The sequence below is a fragment of the Homo sapiens genome, chromosome 6, assembly GCF_000001405.40.
Source record: "Homo sapiens chromosome 6, GRCh38.p14 Primary Assembly".
NCBI lineage: Eukaryota > Metazoa > Chordata > Mammalia > Primates > Hominidae > Homo > Homo sapiens.
Window position 1 is genome coordinate 55,819,871 of NC_000006.12, and position 18,867 is coordinate 55,838,737.

The 18,867-nt window shown below is 34.0% G+C and overlaps 1 protein-coding gene across 5 annotated transcripts in view; it reads right to left on the reverse strand.

Annotated features, from left to right (window-relative positions):
* Positions 1–18,867, reverse strand: part of BMP5 (bone morphogenetic protein 5) — a 121,938-nt gene that overhangs the window by 66,218 nt on the left and 36,853 nt on the right. The window lies entirely within an intron of this gene.

An 18,867-nucleotide genomic window follows, 5' to 3' on the forward strand; every position in this document is an offset into this window, starting at 1 on the left:
GGGGAAAAAAGTTAGTCTTTTATAAAATATGGAAATTAATGATAAATTCTCCAGCTTTGAAAGAAAACAAACAAGCAGGATAGTATAAAACTGGAAAAACCCTAAAACCACAAACTGAAACGTGTTTCCAGTTAAAGGAAATTCCACAAACCAACAGCCTTTAGTTCAAAAGCAATATAACCTCTGCGGTTTTATACAAATTCCTGGATCCTAAATGGAAAGGTTATCCAAAAATGTTTTTAAAAGTGAAGGCTGTAAAATGATTACTACTATGTATCAAGTATCAGACCATAGAAAATTTTATACAGAAATTCTGAATATGTTACCGTAACCTCCAGAGTTCCAGGTGAAATGACTGGAGAGACAGCACAGCCATGGGAGGGAAATGGGAAAGAGGACTGAGTTGCAAGTATACAAGGACTGTGTTTATGGCCTTTCAAAGTTCAAGTAAATAAAGCAAACTAATTTTTACAAGAAAGATTGTTTCTAAAATGTCTTCCCCAGAAAATTTTTTCTCTTTTCAGCAAATAAAATATTCTTTTTCTTAAAAACATTTTTTTTTTCTTGAGAAAGGTCTCACTCCGTTGCCCAAGCTGGAGTGCAGTGGTATGATCACCGCTCACTGACGCCTGGACCTCCCAGGCTCAAGTGATCCTCCCACCTCAACCTCTAGAGTAGCTAGGACTACAGGCATGCACCACCACACCCAGCCAATTTTTTTATTTTTTGTAGGGGCAGGGTCTCACTATGTTACCTAGACTGGTCTCGAAATCCTGGGCTCAAGCAATCCTCCCAATTTGGCATCCCAAAGTTCTGGGATTACTTGCATGAGCTACTCTGCCCCGTGTTGTTTGTTTGTTTGTTTGTTTGTTTGTTTGTTTGCTTTTAAAGCATTTTTTATAAATTCTTACCCCTGGTCCAGTACAAAGTCTCTCAAAAACCTCTGTCATTATTCAGAATTGAGAGGGGAACATATTTTCCCTCTTTAGTAACCTTCCAAACAAATGAAGTCAAAGAACTGTTCCTTTTGGGAATATTAAGAAATGCTGAAGAATTTAGGACAGTAAGTATCAGACATATTATTATATAATCTGGCTGTGTAAGATAGTGTATTGTACAAGTGGTATTAATTGATTCACAAAGCTCAAAAATTGGAAATCTTTAGAAGATTAATTAAAATTTATAACACTGCTATACATATATGAAACTTAGGATCCTAAGCTAGAAGCATTAAGATTATGGAAGGGAAAAGATGATAATGACCATCAGGAATGATGCTGCGGAGACAAGGCTGCTAGAACATCATGTTCTAAGGCCAGATGGGTGGCCACATTTGAAGCTCCTGACAAAGGAACCCACAATGCTTTGCCTTCATCCTCCATAATAATCTCTGGTTTATTTTCCCCAGAAAAGTGGAAGGTGGTTCAGGAGAGAGCAAGAAGCTGATCCTCACCTCCATCTCAGAATCTAAAGCAGGCATACAGAAAAATGTAGCTACATTTGGGGGCATATTTTTTTAAATTTTATTTTACAGAAACCCTGGACTCAAGCCATCCTCCTGCCATAGCCTCCCAAGTAGCTGGGACTACTATAGGTGTTCCCCACTGCACCCAGTTGGAAGCATTTTTGTCCTGTGGATCTTGGCAAGGATGATGCTCTTTGGCTCTCTGACTACAGTAACACCACCTCACATGATTCATAAAATTATTCTCTTAAAATATCATTATCTTGGTCCTAAGAAAGGTCCATTTCCAGAGAGATTATTAATCAATTTTTCCTAAATAAGGACAAAAAACCCATTTGTAAGATGTTATTTTGGTCCATAATTTAAATCTTGTCTCTGGTGATAGTGCAGACTGCCATGATAGTGCAGACTGCACACTCCTCCTTCCTCTCCCTTTTGTCCATTTGACTGGGCTGTGTGAGAGTGGAAGTCTAGGGGAAGAAAATGCCTGCTACCTAAGTAGCTAGTAACTGATGTGCATGTAAGAATGCTAAAACTAGCCACAACTTTTGCTTTCAGGGAACTAAATCTAACTCACTGTATTCTTATTTTCTTATCCTAAATTTAAATGAAGTAGATGACATCATGTGACCATATCTAAATAGCATTTATATGCCAGACTATATTCTCAGTATTTTATCATCTTATTAATATTAACATATTCTGCCTCATAACAGCCTACAAGGTAGGTTCTCTTATTATCCTCATTTTAGAAATGAAGCAACTGTGGAAGCATGGGGAATAAATACCTTACCAAAAACTTTGAACCCAGGCATTTGGTGTCACCAATCCATGGTTGTTAAATGTCAGGATATGCTGCGTCTGCTAACACACTATGGCTTTGTCCTATTTTGTTAACATAGACCTAAAATCTTGTATTTACAAGTCCAAAATCCAAAACATTCTGAAAACTACGAGTTTGTTTTCAAGCTCTTTTGACAGAAGAACCAGAAGTTAACTGACATGAAGTGATTTAAAGTCTCTTTTTATCCCAGTTTCTATAAATATTTATTGCTTTGCTGCAGAAATTGTCATGTGTTGGCCTAGGTGGCACTGTCCCAGACCCTGCTTGACAAATACTATACTTCATGATATATGCACCAACCAGCCATTTGAAAATATATTTTCTCCATTCTGAAGGTCAATATTCATAATTCTAAGTGATAACAACCATTATTCATTTTTTCATTAATATTAAATTGTATATTTAAAATTTTAACCAAAAAGCAACAAGTATAGTCCTAAAAATAAAGGCTAAGACATGAGTTTGCTAGGATCCAACCTAAAGTGTGCACCTGCTTAATGCAGATGAGTATTGAATTCATGTTATGTAATCTACCGTTCTGGAATCCCCTGTGAGATGTTAGTGTAATAAAGTAGAAAGCTAGAATTTCAGCCATTATTATAAAATTTCAGTTTTCTAATCCAAGCTATTTAACTTAAACCCTTAAGGGGACTCATTTTCAAAGAGTTTAATAAAATTTTATATTAAATATACCACACAGAACGAAGTTGCATTGCAGACTTGTCTGGTGATTCAAATCCTTATATCCTACTGCTTTGAATCATAATTGCAACAATAAATTCCATGGGACATATTGGAATGAGTAATGGAATAAGACTTACAGCCTAATGATGCCCACAAATATTCAACAATGTAATCTCAGTTACCTCAAACAGTAACACTAGGGAGGTGGCAAATATTAATATCCCTGACTTAAGAATAAGAAATTGGGTGATGACAGCTACATAGTAACAGATGTCTGTCTCCTAAAGTTTATTATAAATCTTCGTTCAATACCTATACCACCTACATAATGACATCCTACTGTTCTGCACTTAGAGGCTAGTTCATTGTTAGTTTAAACAATGTCTTTCAGCAGTACACAAAAAAGTGAAGAACAGAATAAGGAATTTGATCACCAAAAAGTATATAGCATCTAACACATCACAATACATAATCCAGAGAAATCTTTTAATAAATATTAATTGAATGAAAAATTGCATGAATGGGTCAAAATCTAGTCATCTCTTTCCACTCAGCAACTCCTGCTGCATTCCCCCTTGGCTGAAGCCATGGTAACTTATTTAAGTATCATTTGTGTGGTACATATTTCATTTAATCCCCGTGACCCTACTTAAGTCCACTAGTTTTATAACTTGTCAAAGAGCCCAAAACTTGTAATCGAAAGATAACAGATTTCATCCCAGGATTTCAATTTCTAAGCCCTCATTAACACAGCCGGAGTGTGTTTTTCTGAATATTGTTTTGTTTTGTTATGTTTTCAATCTAATTATTTCTTGGGAAAGTTGACCTTGTTTCAGTGCTTTCGTTATCCTCTCTCCAAAGAACCCTTCCCCTTCCCTTTATGATGCTCCCATAATAAAGACATGCCATTCTTTCTGGACTCAGTTCATTCTTTTAGAACACACCTCCTCCTATCTTTATCTTAGCACATGTGTTTTTATTCACTTATTTAATATTGATTACATTTCTTATCTAAGGAATATTTTATGAATAAACAAATGATTATATAATTTGAGTATTATATACTATATATGTTAATGTAACATCATACTTTCACTACAACCATATGTTGAAATTTAATTATAGCTTTTAATTTTGACATAATTGTGATTCACCGGCAGAATTCCTTCATACCCAACCTTTTATTTACCAGAGCTGCTACCAAAATCAAAACTCCCAAAGTAGATGAAAAAGAACAAACACACACATTTAACACTCCTTAAATGTCAGCTTTTTAAGAAAGATCTTTGTCTTATTCACATTGTGACAAATTTGGCAAATATTAAGCATTCTGTCTTTCTGTATATTACAGTATGCTATAACCTACTGCAGTGGTAAATGACTTGGGAAGGTTAAAAGATACACAAGTAAATGAGAAGAAAAAAAAACAGAGAAGTGTATACTATTATTGGCTTTGAGATTCATGTATTTGGCCCTTTTAATTCATTCCTTAATGTATATTTTACATCAACCAAATACCATGAATTTCCAGAATCTTTACCAGTATTTCCAGTAAAATCTGTTTTATCAGATATAGATACACAAGACTCCATAAAAGCCCTAAACACATTCCCTCTTTGGTGGTGAAAAAGCATCTCTTAATTACCATATAAAAACAAATAAAACAAGACAAACAAAAAGGCAGAAGGTTTGGCTCATTTAAGCCAGACCCAGACTTGTTAAAGGGGATAGAAGGACACAGAGTAAAGACACACTGAGATCAGGGGTTAATGCTTTTTTTCCTAGTACCATCCCTTATCTCAGACCAAAAATGACATTTCTCTCGTGTGAGAATAGAAAGAGTGTTTAGTAACAAACACTTGTGTCAATCAATTTGCTTCTAATAATTGTATTTAAAAGGAGACCACAGCAGCCTGTTCAAATTCTTACATGTGCTGACCTGTCTAACAAGACCAAGAGGGGGGTGCATTTTGCAAACAGCCATACATAGACTTCACTAATCCCAGACTCTTCTCTCGTTGTCATTTATGACACACACGTTTTGAAGATTTCCAGGTGTAAGCCATTTAATATCACCATAAAAATGAAAAAAGGAAACTTTACAATGATACACTTTATGGATGGAGGTGTAGATCATCCCAAATATTATCATGTAAAATTATTCCATTCAAATAAGTCCATCAACATAGGGTTGTTTATTTATTAGAGCTGATGGTTGCCAACAGCGCTCTCTAAAAAAATTAAAACAAGTTGCTTTCCTATACCCACACACACATACACAAACTCACAGAAAATAAAACATCAAAACTTCAGCAAAACGTATGCATTTTACCACCCAAATCACAAACACAACAATGATGGTAAACACACTTCCTTCTGCTTCTAGGGAGCAGGTTTCTTTGTGTGTACTCCAAACTATGTGAAATTACAGAGCTATCTAGAGAAATAGAAAACTCAACTGCACTGCTAGAAGAAGAGAAATAATTTATTATTATATTTTGGTTTAAAAAGTGGTAACATCAAAGCATACAAGATGTAAAATATGAATCAAATTATTCACATCCCATGATTAATGGACTGATAGTGAAAAGAAGCAGAATTGCCTTTATATAAGCACCAAACTATGTCCTAAGTGCTCTGAATTGTCAAAGTTCTGCAAAGGTTAAACTCTGTTTAAAACACACACTGAAGACTTTTATTGTTGAGATACAAGTTAACAGAAGTTAATGACTGATAGAAGTTGTTTTTTTTTTCCTCCCAAGCAGATATCTCTCTGAATGACTTTATCACTAATAGAAACTGGATGAAATTGTCCTGGGCTAAATATTTTCATGTCTACATTATCTGAAGAGTAGAATTAATTAACAGAGGATTACAGTTTTATCTATGTAGTGATTTATCTGCAGTTTTAAGGAGATGCATTCATGGGCAATCAGTCTTAATCTCCCACACAAGAGCTGTAACTTGGAAGACACAAATAGCAGCAGTAGCTGTAAGGCAAAGATAGCATTCTCCCAGGAGCCTAGCCAGCTGTTGAAAGAATACAGATCATTGTTTGCTGCTGAGTGCAAAAAATCATTAAGAGATTACTCATAGAATTATTACTAATCTGTGTTGCATTGTAAAAGTGAAAAAAAAGCAATGATATCATGTGACTACCAAGATGCATCACTTTCCAAGATATCCTTCGCTAACTAGTCCACCAAAAAACATAAACCTAGTTCTATAAAGACTTATTTATTGGTCAGTGAAAGAATATGTACATGTTTTCCATGAATGGATAACCATTCCAGAGAGTGTGGCAAACTCCAGATTCCAGAAGTCTTAAGAGCCTGTTAATACACAGTAATATGTGACCTGAATGAAAGAAAATTGTCTCCCTGAATGTTTTGTTTCAAAGGATAATTTCAATTGACTTTCAAATTTTCTACAGTTATTATCCTCTTACTCATAAATATTTCATGAATACAGTTTTATAAAGAAGCAAAATCTCAAAGAATTATTAGATAGTTAAATAATTGTAATATTCTACTATAACTAAACAAATTGATTTTCAAAATCAATTTAAATATAATGCATATAATTTTGAAAATTAAGACATTTAATTGTTGATTGAATATTAGTTTACTTTAAAAATATAATAGTTTAGAAACAAGAATTAAGCCTTACATAAAGCTCTAAAATTAGAATGAAGTTGGTCTCAAGGTGTTCCTGTTTTCTTTAAATTAGGCCTAGCAATGAGCTTTCAGTGATTATTTAGAATACTGTAATGATAACAGCTATGCATACCAAGCATTGGTATGAAAATTATATATTTAATAATTAAATTAATAACAAATAAACAATTGTAGCAATAAATTAATTAATGAAGGAGTTAATATAATTAATAAATTTTAATTTTTTGTTTCTTCCCTAATTTGATCCAACAAGGTGGAGCTTCCATTATCTCCCTCATGGTACAGATAAACAATATTAACTTTCTCACTGTCACAGAGTTAGTTATCACAAAGCCAGAGATAATATCTAGGTCTTATTACTCCTAATATTCTTTGCATGAAAGTTTCAACTAATAACAACTGCTACATCTGTCTCAGGGCAAAGTTTTCCTATTCCATTCCAGAACAATGTTTCTGCTTTAGCCTTACTCCCAAGCTCCTATGCTCATTCTTAGCGTGCTCTCTCCTCCTATGCATTTAGTTTCTTCCTTTTTCCTCTACCTTAAGTCAGTGTTGTGGAGACAATAGAACACTGGGAACACACTTGCAGATGAACAAAGTTGGGTGTATTGACTTGTTTCAGCTTGTATTATGAGATGGATGCCACAGCAAATCTCAGTAAAAGGCTGTTAGAAAGGACTCATTAGGATTGTTAAGTAATATAGTAGAAAATTCTAAGAGGAAGGGTTTTCCTCTGACCTGAGTGCTCTTAGGAAGCAGAGGTAAATTAATCATTTGGTATCTTAATATAATTTTCTAGAAGCTAGATGTCATTGTGGTTTTTTTAAAAATGTTTGTTATTATGGAGTTAAAAAAAAACCTGCAGGCTAGGTTCCTACAACAGTGGATAGATAAAAAATAGTTGTATTTACTTGACATCTTGTTTATATATTGGTGGAACACGTAGCACATATTTGAAGGTTCACAAATTGCCAAGAAATATCAGTGTAATCAAATTTACTGGTTCTTACAAATTTTTTTTAAGTCTTAAAGTCATTAAGTTATTTTTATCACTGAGGATAACAATGCATTCCGAAGTATACACATAGTTTACTATTGTTTTTATTATGAGCATTTTAGAAAGGAAAAATTATTAAGTGAATGTTAGAAGCAAATACACATCTTTTTGAGTTAAACGTTAATATTAAATGTCAAAAATTAGCTTAGAATACCCACAAAGGGTGGTACTTGACTGATTCATTCTGTATAATGAAAAATGGTTAATGATGAATGAGTATATTTACTACACAAATAACAGATTTCAATGACACTATGTACAAATATTTGAGAATGTTTTGTGTTTACCTGTAACAACTTAAAATAAAGGCATAACTGTCTGATAGCCATCTTTTGGTCAATATTTAGCTCTTACATTTTCTTTAGTGGAAAAAATCTGTTCCTTTTACAGATTGTCTGGCAGCTAGAGGTCAACCATTCTAATCTCACCAGATTTCACTAAATGATCTTGTGAATTCTTCTGCTCCATCAGTAAAATAAAACAGTTTTTAACCACCTTTAGGTGATAGAGGTTACAGTAAGTCTATGTACACAAAAGACTTTCCTTTACATCTTGAAATCAGTGAGTTGATAGTTTATCTACAGTGAATATTTGTGGTTACATGACAAAAACAGGTCAAAGGTTTTGTGAGTTTTCTTCTGAAATTGCTCAGTGCCTTCTCTAATGACTGATAATTGAAAACAGAGATTGGGACTATCAAATGTGGTGGGTGACAGATAAGTAGTAGATTAATGCCAATACTTGGTTACAAGACACTAAAAGGTCAGAAGTCACATGAATTAGCTATTGTGCTACTGTGAAAAGACAGACATCAAAAGTCTATTATCCCCTTTAACAGCTCTTAGCCTAGCTTGAAATCCATTCTCACTTCCTTAGATTATAATTTACAAGTAATCTCCATGCCATTTTACATATGATGTCAAAGTGAAGCCACTCACCCTAAGTATATCAATAGTTGGAGTTTGCATATTTTATTTACATAATAAAGAAAGTTTGTTTTTAAAAAATCACATTTTTAGTGTATTCAATGTTTATCTTGGTATATTTTAGGAACATTTTATTTAGAAAAAAATAATTATACTCAATGAAAAAAACACTTGAAAAAATAAAGAAGTTGACAAGTATATTTTATTTGCTCAATATTTCTCTATGGGGGAAATGGAGTGGGTTTAAGACACAGTTTGTATAGTTTAAAGGATATGAGGATTTTTATAGCTGAACAAACAAATAAATATCTGAAATCACCCACTTTTAATTTTAAATTGGTATAATATAATAGAGTTCACTCAAGTTCAATTTGTGGTTCAATCTGTCATTTTGCAAAAAGACAAACTATGAATTTTTCTGCCAAATGGGTTGCATCAGTGAAGTTTGGTACATGGATGTATAATCACAAAGAAATGTGATTATCATATGGAATAATATATAATTAATAGAGACACATTAGTTTTACAGGTTTCTAAGATTAGGAATAAAACTATAAGAATATATTACATATACACTCTAAAATTAATATAGGAGTAGCTGATGTTCTGTTCTGTTTAGGCAAGAACTGCAAGTGGCCCACGTTTGTTTCCTAAGGAGTGATTATTTGCTTTATGTCTCCCCCGGTAGATTGTAAGCTTGATAACAGCAGCACTTTTGTTTTGCTTACTACCGTACACTCTTCCTTACCTCAATCCCTAGCACACAGCAGGTATTCATATACATGTATAATAAATAAATATAGGAATATATGTTGGTTTTCTTGTTTTTTTTCAGATTTTTTTTTATTGTTTCATAAGGAAGGCTAAATCCAGACTCTGCCATTCCAGTGAATTCAAAAGCAGAACCCCTCAACCATCTACTGTGGCACAGCCCTGCTCATGCCACAAAATAGTATTAATATTAGTTCTAATAGTATATATATATTTTTTACTTCCTTCTTCAAAGGAAATTCAAATAAATAGTGATAACTAGACAGAATCCTAATGTCACACATTTATTTTCAGTTTCACACTACCTGTGTTGGTACTTAAAAACATATGCTAGTGTAATAGAATCTCTATAATTCTTTAATGAATATATTACTCTTGAGGAAGAAAAAAAGGTAATTCAAAAAATACATAACCATGCAAAAAAAATAACATTTATCTTATGGTTATTATCAGAATTGTATTAAAGTAATCCACAGAATGAATTACGCATTGTGAAACACCATATGTGATGTTTTTGAACATAATATGATAATTTCTATATTCTCATTGATTTTTTCTTATGCATATAAAAATATTCCACCAAACTGTGTATATGTAATATAACCAAATCTTTGGTAACATATTTATAATTTTTAAGCTTCTTTTTAAGGTATTAAAAACATTTGGTCCCTTCAAAAGTATGGTTGTTTTGTGTGTTTCTTTTACATTTGGTTGTTAGGACTGCTATTATATGTCATAAGTTTCCCTAATATCATCCTTACAAATTAAACTTTACCAGTCTTTACATTTACAGTTAGAAACTGGAATACATAATACATGACTTAACATCTCTTTATAGCACATTATTAAAATGGTGAGTTATATGAATCAATGTATTGTATTTAAAGATGTATTGTATAATTGGAGAGTTACTTCAGAACATATGTGTATTTAATAAAGATTTAACAGGTGCCAGAATCAATAAAGAAATCACATGATCTTCCTACATTTTATTGAATGAGACCACACTGTAATTAGAGTCAAGGGATCCTTAGTGGTCTCAGTTCACAGAGTATTCACATGAACAGTCTCATATTTGGGTTGACATGGTTTCACACTCTTGGACTTTTCCTTTGTATTGGGATTTCAGGTCAACCACAAAACTCAGAGCAAAATTCAGCTACGCATCTTTGAGCAGTATCTGGTTTTGAGTTCAAATATACAAACCCTTCAAGTTTCTTAAGATGCACACCTGGAAACAACAATAAGTCTTTTGAGATTTATGTTAGACCATCTTATTTTAGATTCAAATTTAATAATTTCCTGAGTCTCCAATCCAATGTTATGTTAGTTATCAGATGATCTGTTTTCTGATGCTTTTGCTGTTAAGTTTGACTTGTTCTTAATGTTATTTAGTAATCCATCTAACTAACTCATATATACTGTTACATAAAACCTAAATTTACAATAGAAAAGGCTGAATTAAAACAATTTAAGTCACATATTCTCCAAAATGGTCAGGAATTGATGATATCTACTATCTCCAGAAATGATTGTGTGAAGCAGATACAAGTTTGAGGTTAAAATAAGCAAGTTTGAGTATTAGAAGTTTACAAAGCAGGTAGATTCTTAGGTTTCTCTTCACATTCTGTGCTTTTGAGTGACTGTTCTTTCCTACATGAGAAGTTTAGACTTTTTTTTTCCTAAAGAAGGGAAAACAGAGGGTTCTTCACTGGCAACACCAGGCACAGTTAGAGTGTGTTAGCATACTCAAGACAGAGGAACTAGACAAGAATATTCACCCTGAATGCTAAATTCCCGGCTTCTTTCCCCACTTGGTTGCCAGGATGTCGACAGCTAGGGTTATATCTTCTAGGCAAGAGAATGAGAATCCTCTTTTTGAAATCTGACAAATCCAAGAGGAAAAGACCAAGTTTCCACAAAATAGCAAAGAAACAGCATCCTAAAGGGAAAATAATACTGACAAGTTCCGCCAATATGCTAAGTTGCTAATCAGCATTTTAATATCTCACTATTAAATAAGCACAGACAACCAATTATTACCAGATAGCTGAGAAAATTCTCCACCTTGAGATATAAACGTAAAAATTGATTTTTTTAAGGAAAGGAACTTGGAGGAACCTACTAAAAAAAACTACTATATTATCCTTTAAGGGCTAAAAGAAATTATTGCATCCATGGAACAAGTACTAATACAAATCCTATAAAATAGAAATAGAAACAGTCAATGCTAAAACATCTCTTGGAAGTAAAGCAGAAAGTTAATCTCAGTTTGAAAGATTGAATTGAGCAAATTCTCAAAAAAGAGAGCAATTAGAAGTGGAAAATTAGAAAAGAAGACTTTAAAAAATAAAAAAAAAATGTCCAGAATCAGCCAAATAATAGTTTCTGGAAAGAGAGATGAAGAAAAAAAGAAAAAGGAAATCATCAAAGAAATAGTTCAATTCACTTATCTGAAGTACAAAAAATTTCAAGACTAAAAACCAGTGTTCCCAGCTCAGTGGACACACATCGTTGTGAACATTTAGAACACTGGAGGCGAACAGAAGATTTTACAGGCTTCCAGAGACAAAATACAAATCACATACATATAAGAAATAAATAAACCAGAAAGAAGACAAAGACATGGGTAACAGGAGAGAGAAGGTCTAACACAGAGAGAGACAAAAATAATGCTTAAGAAGGGAGATTTCAGGACAACGGCTGTGCTCCAAGTATAGGAGGCAAATAGTCCGTACTGGAAAGCTATATTAAGGGCTAACATCACAAATATCCCATTTACCATTTGTACCATCTTTTGAACCTGACAAAGTCTAGGTGAGCAAAGACTTGAACTGTACCTACAAGTAGCTCTCCTGACATGTCTTCATGAAGTTCTTGCTTTCTCCTCAAAGCCATGCTGCCTCTTGGGTCATTTGAGAACACTCACTTCTCCCCAGTGAATTTTTGTTTTCTTTTTTTCCCTACTCCTGAGAGCTGTCTGTTGATCACAATGAGCCTGCAAACTGAGATTGCAGAAAAGCTCACCTCCCCTCACCATGTTTCAGTTGGCTGGACTGTACTTGGGCTTGCCACTTGGCAGATCCCCCAAATCCCCAGGACAATACCTCCCCAGAAAAGAGTCTTTAAAAACTGTTAGGCAAATTAAGCCAGGATTTTACTCAGAGGCTGTGTTTATCTCGTCCTCTGAAAGAATCCACTAAGCACCTGTATTTAAATATCTAGCTTTGTGCTTCTCATCTGTTTTAATAGTAATTGGTTTTACATGTACTTATATGTGAAATATATTTGATAAAACATGACATATCTAATTGAAGAAAAATTAACTTATCCAAGTTCATAAGTATAGTAATCTGTGGAGCATGCATTCAAATCGGTACCTAACCACATCAATGCCTCCTATTAAACGTGCCAGGAGGTTACTGAATTTCTTTTTGAGCTTTATCTTTTTGCTCTGTCACAGTGTTAATGCAAATTCCAAAATTCTGTGTCTCACTTTTCCTTTGGGTTTTGTTCATTTAAAAATAAGTCATAGTACAGGTGCAGTGGTCCATGCCTATAATCCCAGCACTTTGGGAGACTAAGGCAGGAGGATCACTTGAGGGCAGGAGTTTGAGACCAGCTTGTGCAACATAGCAAGACCCTGTCTCTACAAAAATTTAAAAAAAAAAATTATTGGGGAATGGTGGCACATGCCTGTACTTCTAGATACTCCAGAGACTCAAGCAGGAAGATGACTTGAGCCCAGGAGTTCAAGGTTAAAGTGAGCTATGATCATGCCACTGTACTCCAGCCTGTGCGACAGAGCAAGATCCTGTCTCTAAGAAATAAAAAATAAATAAATCAGAGATATTATGAATATCTAACACTAGGGAGCATTTTCAGTAATCTGCATGGCATTGACCACAGTACAGGATGTTTAGACTCTGCAAAATGCAAGTGTTATTCCTACAATCACAACTAAGTACAACAAAAATTGCTCTTGTATAGAAACAGCCAATGTACTTAAAGTTCTGCTTCATTTTCTCGCCCCTTGATGTGTGTTCACAGCCTCAAATAAGGCATGACTTTGAAAACATATCAACATCACTAACCAGCCTATGCCACATTGGTTTTAACACATAGTGAAAACAAAAATTATCTCAAACCTAAGTTGTGCTTTACATGTTTCCAGTTATGACAGGCTTTATTCTTTTTCGGCTTTTGAAGGAAACCAGCAAAACTTAAAATAACTCTAGGAAGCCATGTAAATAATCATTACACAGAACAGAGCTGACAAGGGTAATGGAAAGGATTAGGTGAACTCATTTGAAAGAGAAACTGAATGCATCTGAAAGAATGAAGGGCTAAAAAAGCTCATTAATATTTATTACCTAGTAAATTCAAGCAATATGTAAACAGGACAGCAATCTCTGAAGGATAAAAGTCTGTGTCGTTAACTATGTTAATAGTGGCACAGAAACTAAAGGATATAGTGTCTCTTTTCTTCTTACCCAAAATCATGCAGGATATCCCATGTTCAATCATGGAATCCTAATGAATTTATAAAGCTTTGGTGTATATTCAGAAGTCCTACAATGTCCAGAGAGAACCACTAACAACAATGATGATGACTATAAAAATTTTAATAACAGTTATGAGATATTATGCAAAAATCTATAATTTCATTTAATACAATATGTATTTAGTAAAAGAAAAAAGAGGAAAACAGTTTTCATGTCTATTGAATGATTATCATTTAGCCACCATTTTGGGCACACGATTGGGGAACAAAAGAAGGTGGGAAAATGGGGAACAAAGGGTAACTTCCTGCAAGCAATCACCTAATTACCCTCTGAGGTGGCTTGATTCTAGATGAAATATAGGTCATGGAACTAGCATTAGTTAAATTGAGCATTTTTTCATCTGTGATTAATGTGTTGCTTGTTGAAATTTTAAATTGTCTTGTTCTCTTGAAGTCACTTTAGGGTAGACTTTACTAACAGAAACTTCCTTTCCTCGCTCCTTTAATCCTGCTTTTCATTACCCCTAGTTATATTCTGAGAAAAGAATTCAATAATAAAAGTAAATATTACTAATATTATCTGCATTCGATTGATAAGCAAAACTAGATATTCATGTATGTAACATGCCTTGCCTCTTATCTCTGACATAGAAGGCCATATTTATTGTTTCTGAGGATTCTGAACTGACTCAAAGGGAACCTTGCACTCAGCTGCTTTCATGTTTGTTTGTTTGTTTGTCTTTTCAGGCCAATATACATTCATTTAGATTATGGCTATAAAAATTTAACTATCATTTTATTAAACTTTTTCATATGGCAGATACTATACTAGCTGTCAAGGGAATACACGCCATCCTTTCCCCCAAAAAAGTAAAACTCATAATTTACAAACCCTCATTGACTTAACTATAAAAATAAATAAAATAACATGTTTAAATGGACAGAAACAGATTCTATATGTGCTTACATACCAAACAAATAACATAAAATTCCATATGGAGGCCAGGTGCAGCGGCTCACGCCTGTAATCCCAGCACTTTGGGAAGTTGAGGCAGGTGGACCACCTGAGGTCAGAAGTTCGAGACCAGCCTGGCTAACATGGCGAATCCATGTCTGTACTAAAAATTAAAACAAAAAAATAGCTGGGCATGGTGGCAGGTGCCTATAATCCCAGCTAGTCAGGAGACTGAGGCAGGAGAATCATTTGAACCCAGGAGGCGGAGGCTGAAGTGAGACGAAGTTGTGCCATTGCTCTCCAGCCTGAGCAACAAGAGTGAAACTCCATCTCAAAAAAAAAAAAAAATTATATGTGGAGTGAGTTTGAGAAAAATTCATTGTGAATAGCAATTCTTATTTGGTCTTTTGACACAGCTTCATTAGCAGAAAAATATTTACCTTATTTTTCAAGATATTATCGAAAAATACTTTTATGAGAACCAAGACCCTGTCCCCAATTTTTCCCACCAAATTCTCAACAATGAAAAAATAAGAAAACTCAAGATTGGATCAAAAGCATATAAAAACAGATGCAAATGTGTAACATGGGTGGGGCAAAACTTCCTAACTGAGCAGAAATTATTTCCTGGATTTCAAATGCACATGTACAGGAACACTTTGACTTGGTTAAGCAATACTGTTTAACATTTAGCATTACATACTAACTTGCAAATCAACTCAAACTGCAAATCTAGCTCTATTCGTATTTACTGAGCACCTATTAGGTACAAGCTGCTCAGCTTGAAATTGTGAATGAAAAGCAGCTTTCATTGTTAACAATGCATGTTGTAGACAGTACTGTTGTGTTTAATGCTAAGCTATGTCGTTCTTTTCTCAGGAGTACATGGTCCTACTTTTCCTTCTCCCTCTGTCTGAGGCTTGGATTATGTTCAATTTCTAGAAATCCATTTTTCCTTTCTGAAATGCCAACTATAGCCTACATTGTGTTCAAGAGGGAAAGATAACAGAGCAAATTTGCAACACTTGAAAATCGCTTCAGTGGCAAGAGACTAAGAAAACAATTTTCTGTCAGAAACAATTTGGGGAAAAGAATTACAAACAGTTTTCAATTTAAATGTGAAACTAAAGTAAGAGATGAATTTAAAGTTAAACAGCATTAGTTTGGAACTAAACAATAGGGATGTAATCTATACCACTGTATGTTTTCAATACATTTTGATTTAACACAATACGGTATTTTCTTTCTTAAATATTAAATAAAATCATAACATCATCTATATGTTTATTTAAATGTAGGCTACCTAGCTCAATTTTCCCAATCAAAAAATTAACAAATTTGTAAAGTTGATTAAGATATCCAAAAGACTCACAAAATATCACAGGATAAACAATTATTTTAATTGTAGATGATGTTTATTGAGTGCGTAAAGTATTTCATGAAATAAATTGAGTACTAAAAACACATTGTTTTATTAAGTACTATATAAAAATCAATAACTACTGTTCAGACTAAGCTTGAAAGTGATTATTATTGGATTTTTGCAACAAAATTGTTAGCATTAAGTAGCAAATATTAACCAAATTATATAACGTGTGTATGTAACTATTTTGCAAAGACTAGAGAGCATATTTTAAAAGTAAAAACAAACCAACAGAAACCTTTTTCTATTACTCTAGAGAGGTTTAAATCTAGAAGTCCAGCATGAGAAATCTAAATTGACAAAACTTGGTTAGCCAAGTTATGTGATAAATCAGTAGTCAGAATGAGATTTTTGTCTACTGACTTTGTAGATTGCCAGTTGACAATATCTGGGCTGTAAAGATCTTAACTGCCTAACCTCACCCCACCAACACACACACAAACACATACATACATACACACACACACACACACACACACACACACACGTAGGCATTACTGGAAGACCTCCCAGGTTATCTTGTTTACCCTCCCAGCCTTTAGACTGGTGCCAACTAACATATTCCAGAGTGCTGTCAACTCTACGTTCACACAGCTGTACTTTCATGATTTTTTATTCCAGTGCAAAGAATCAGTGTTAGGAAGTTCCTTGAATCTATCTCAAATGTTGTTTCACACTAAAATCTAAAACGCTTCTTAAAGTTAACTACAGGGATATAAAAATTTTAAATCAGGCAAAATATGTAGAAAAATAAAATAATTATAAGCAAACTTCTTCAAATTTGTAAGAAGTAGTGCTATCAAATGTGCTTTTTGGTATTGAAAGTATGGGAAGAATTGCTGAAAATTATGTAACTAGAAAAAGTTTTAAAGTAACTTTTTTTTTTTTTTCCTGAGAAAGAGTCTGCTTTTGTTTTCTAGGCTGGAGTGCAGTGGCGCGATCACTGCTCACTGCAACCTCTGCCTCCTGGGCTCAAGCCATCCTTCCCACTCAGTCTCCCGAGTAGCTGGAACTATGGGTGTGGGCGACCACAGAGCATTTTTTCTTTAACTAATTATGATAATTAACACAGTATGTTTAAGAAGATTGACTTAACTTTATGCTTTCAATAAAACAGTGAAAGAAAAAAATGACTCTTTATATCCTTATAAAACTAATTTAGATAGATAGATAGATAGATAGATAGATAGATAGATAGATAGACAGACAGATAGAAGAGATAGGCAGGCAGACAGACAGACAGATAGATATTTACTTTGGTATACTTTGGCTAAATCGGCCAAGTCTTTTAAATCTGTTTCATTAAGTACTCCTTTATTTTTTAAATTTTTTTATTTTGAAGTTTTGTGGATACATAGTAGGTGTATATATTTATGGGATACATGAGATGTTTCAATACTGGCAGGTAATGTGAAATAAGCACATCATGAAGAATAGTGTATCCATCCCATCAAGCATTTATTCTTTGAGTTACAAGTAGTCCAATTATACTCTTTCAGTTATTTGAAAATGTGCAATTAAGTTATTATTGACTATAGTCATTCTGTTGTGCTACCAAAGAGTAGGTTTTATTCATTCTTTCTATTTTTTTGTACCCATTAACCAAACCATCCCCATCTCCCTGCCAGCCTCCCACTACCCTTCCCAGCCTCTGGTAACCATCTTTCTACTATCTATGTCCGTGAGTTCAATTGTTTGGATTATTAGATCCCACAAATGTGAGAACATGCGTTGCTTGTCTTTCTGTGCCTGGATCATTTTACTTAACCTAATGATACCTAGTTTCATCCATATTGTTGCAAACGACTGGGTCTCATTCTTTTTCGTGGCTGAATAATACTCCATTGAGTACATGTTTCACAATTTCTTCATCCATTCATCTGTTGATGGACACTTAGGCTGCTTCCAAATCTTAGCTATTGTAAACAGTGCTTTAGCAAACACAGGAGTGCAGTTATCTCTTTGATATACTGATTTTCCCAGCAGTGGGATTGCCAAATCATTGGATAGCTCAATTTGCAGTTTTTCAAGGAACCTCCAAACTGTTCTCCATAGTGGTTATACTAATTTAGATCTCCAGCAACAGTGTACCAGGGTTCCCTTTTCTCCACACCCTCACAAGCGTTTGTTATTGCCTGTCTTTTGGATATAAGCCATATTAACTGGGGTGAGCTGATATCTCATTGCAGTTTTGATTTGCACTTCTCTGATGATCAATGATGTTGAGCACCTTTTCATATACCTGTTTGCCATTTGTATGTCTTCTTTTGAGAAATATCTATCCAAATCCTTTGCCTATTTTTTTATTAAATTATTAGATTTTTTCCTATAGAGTTGTTTGAGCTCCTTATATATTCTGGCCATTAATCCCTTGCCAGGTGGGTAGCTTGCAAATATTTTCTCCCACTCCATGTGATGTCTCTTCACTTTGTCGATTTTTTTCCCTTGCTGTGCAGAAGGTTTTTAATTTGATGTGATCCCAAACCCCTGGGGATGTTTTTGACATCTGGACTTCTCCAGGTTATTTATATCATTTAAAAAATCCTTATCATTTAAAAAAT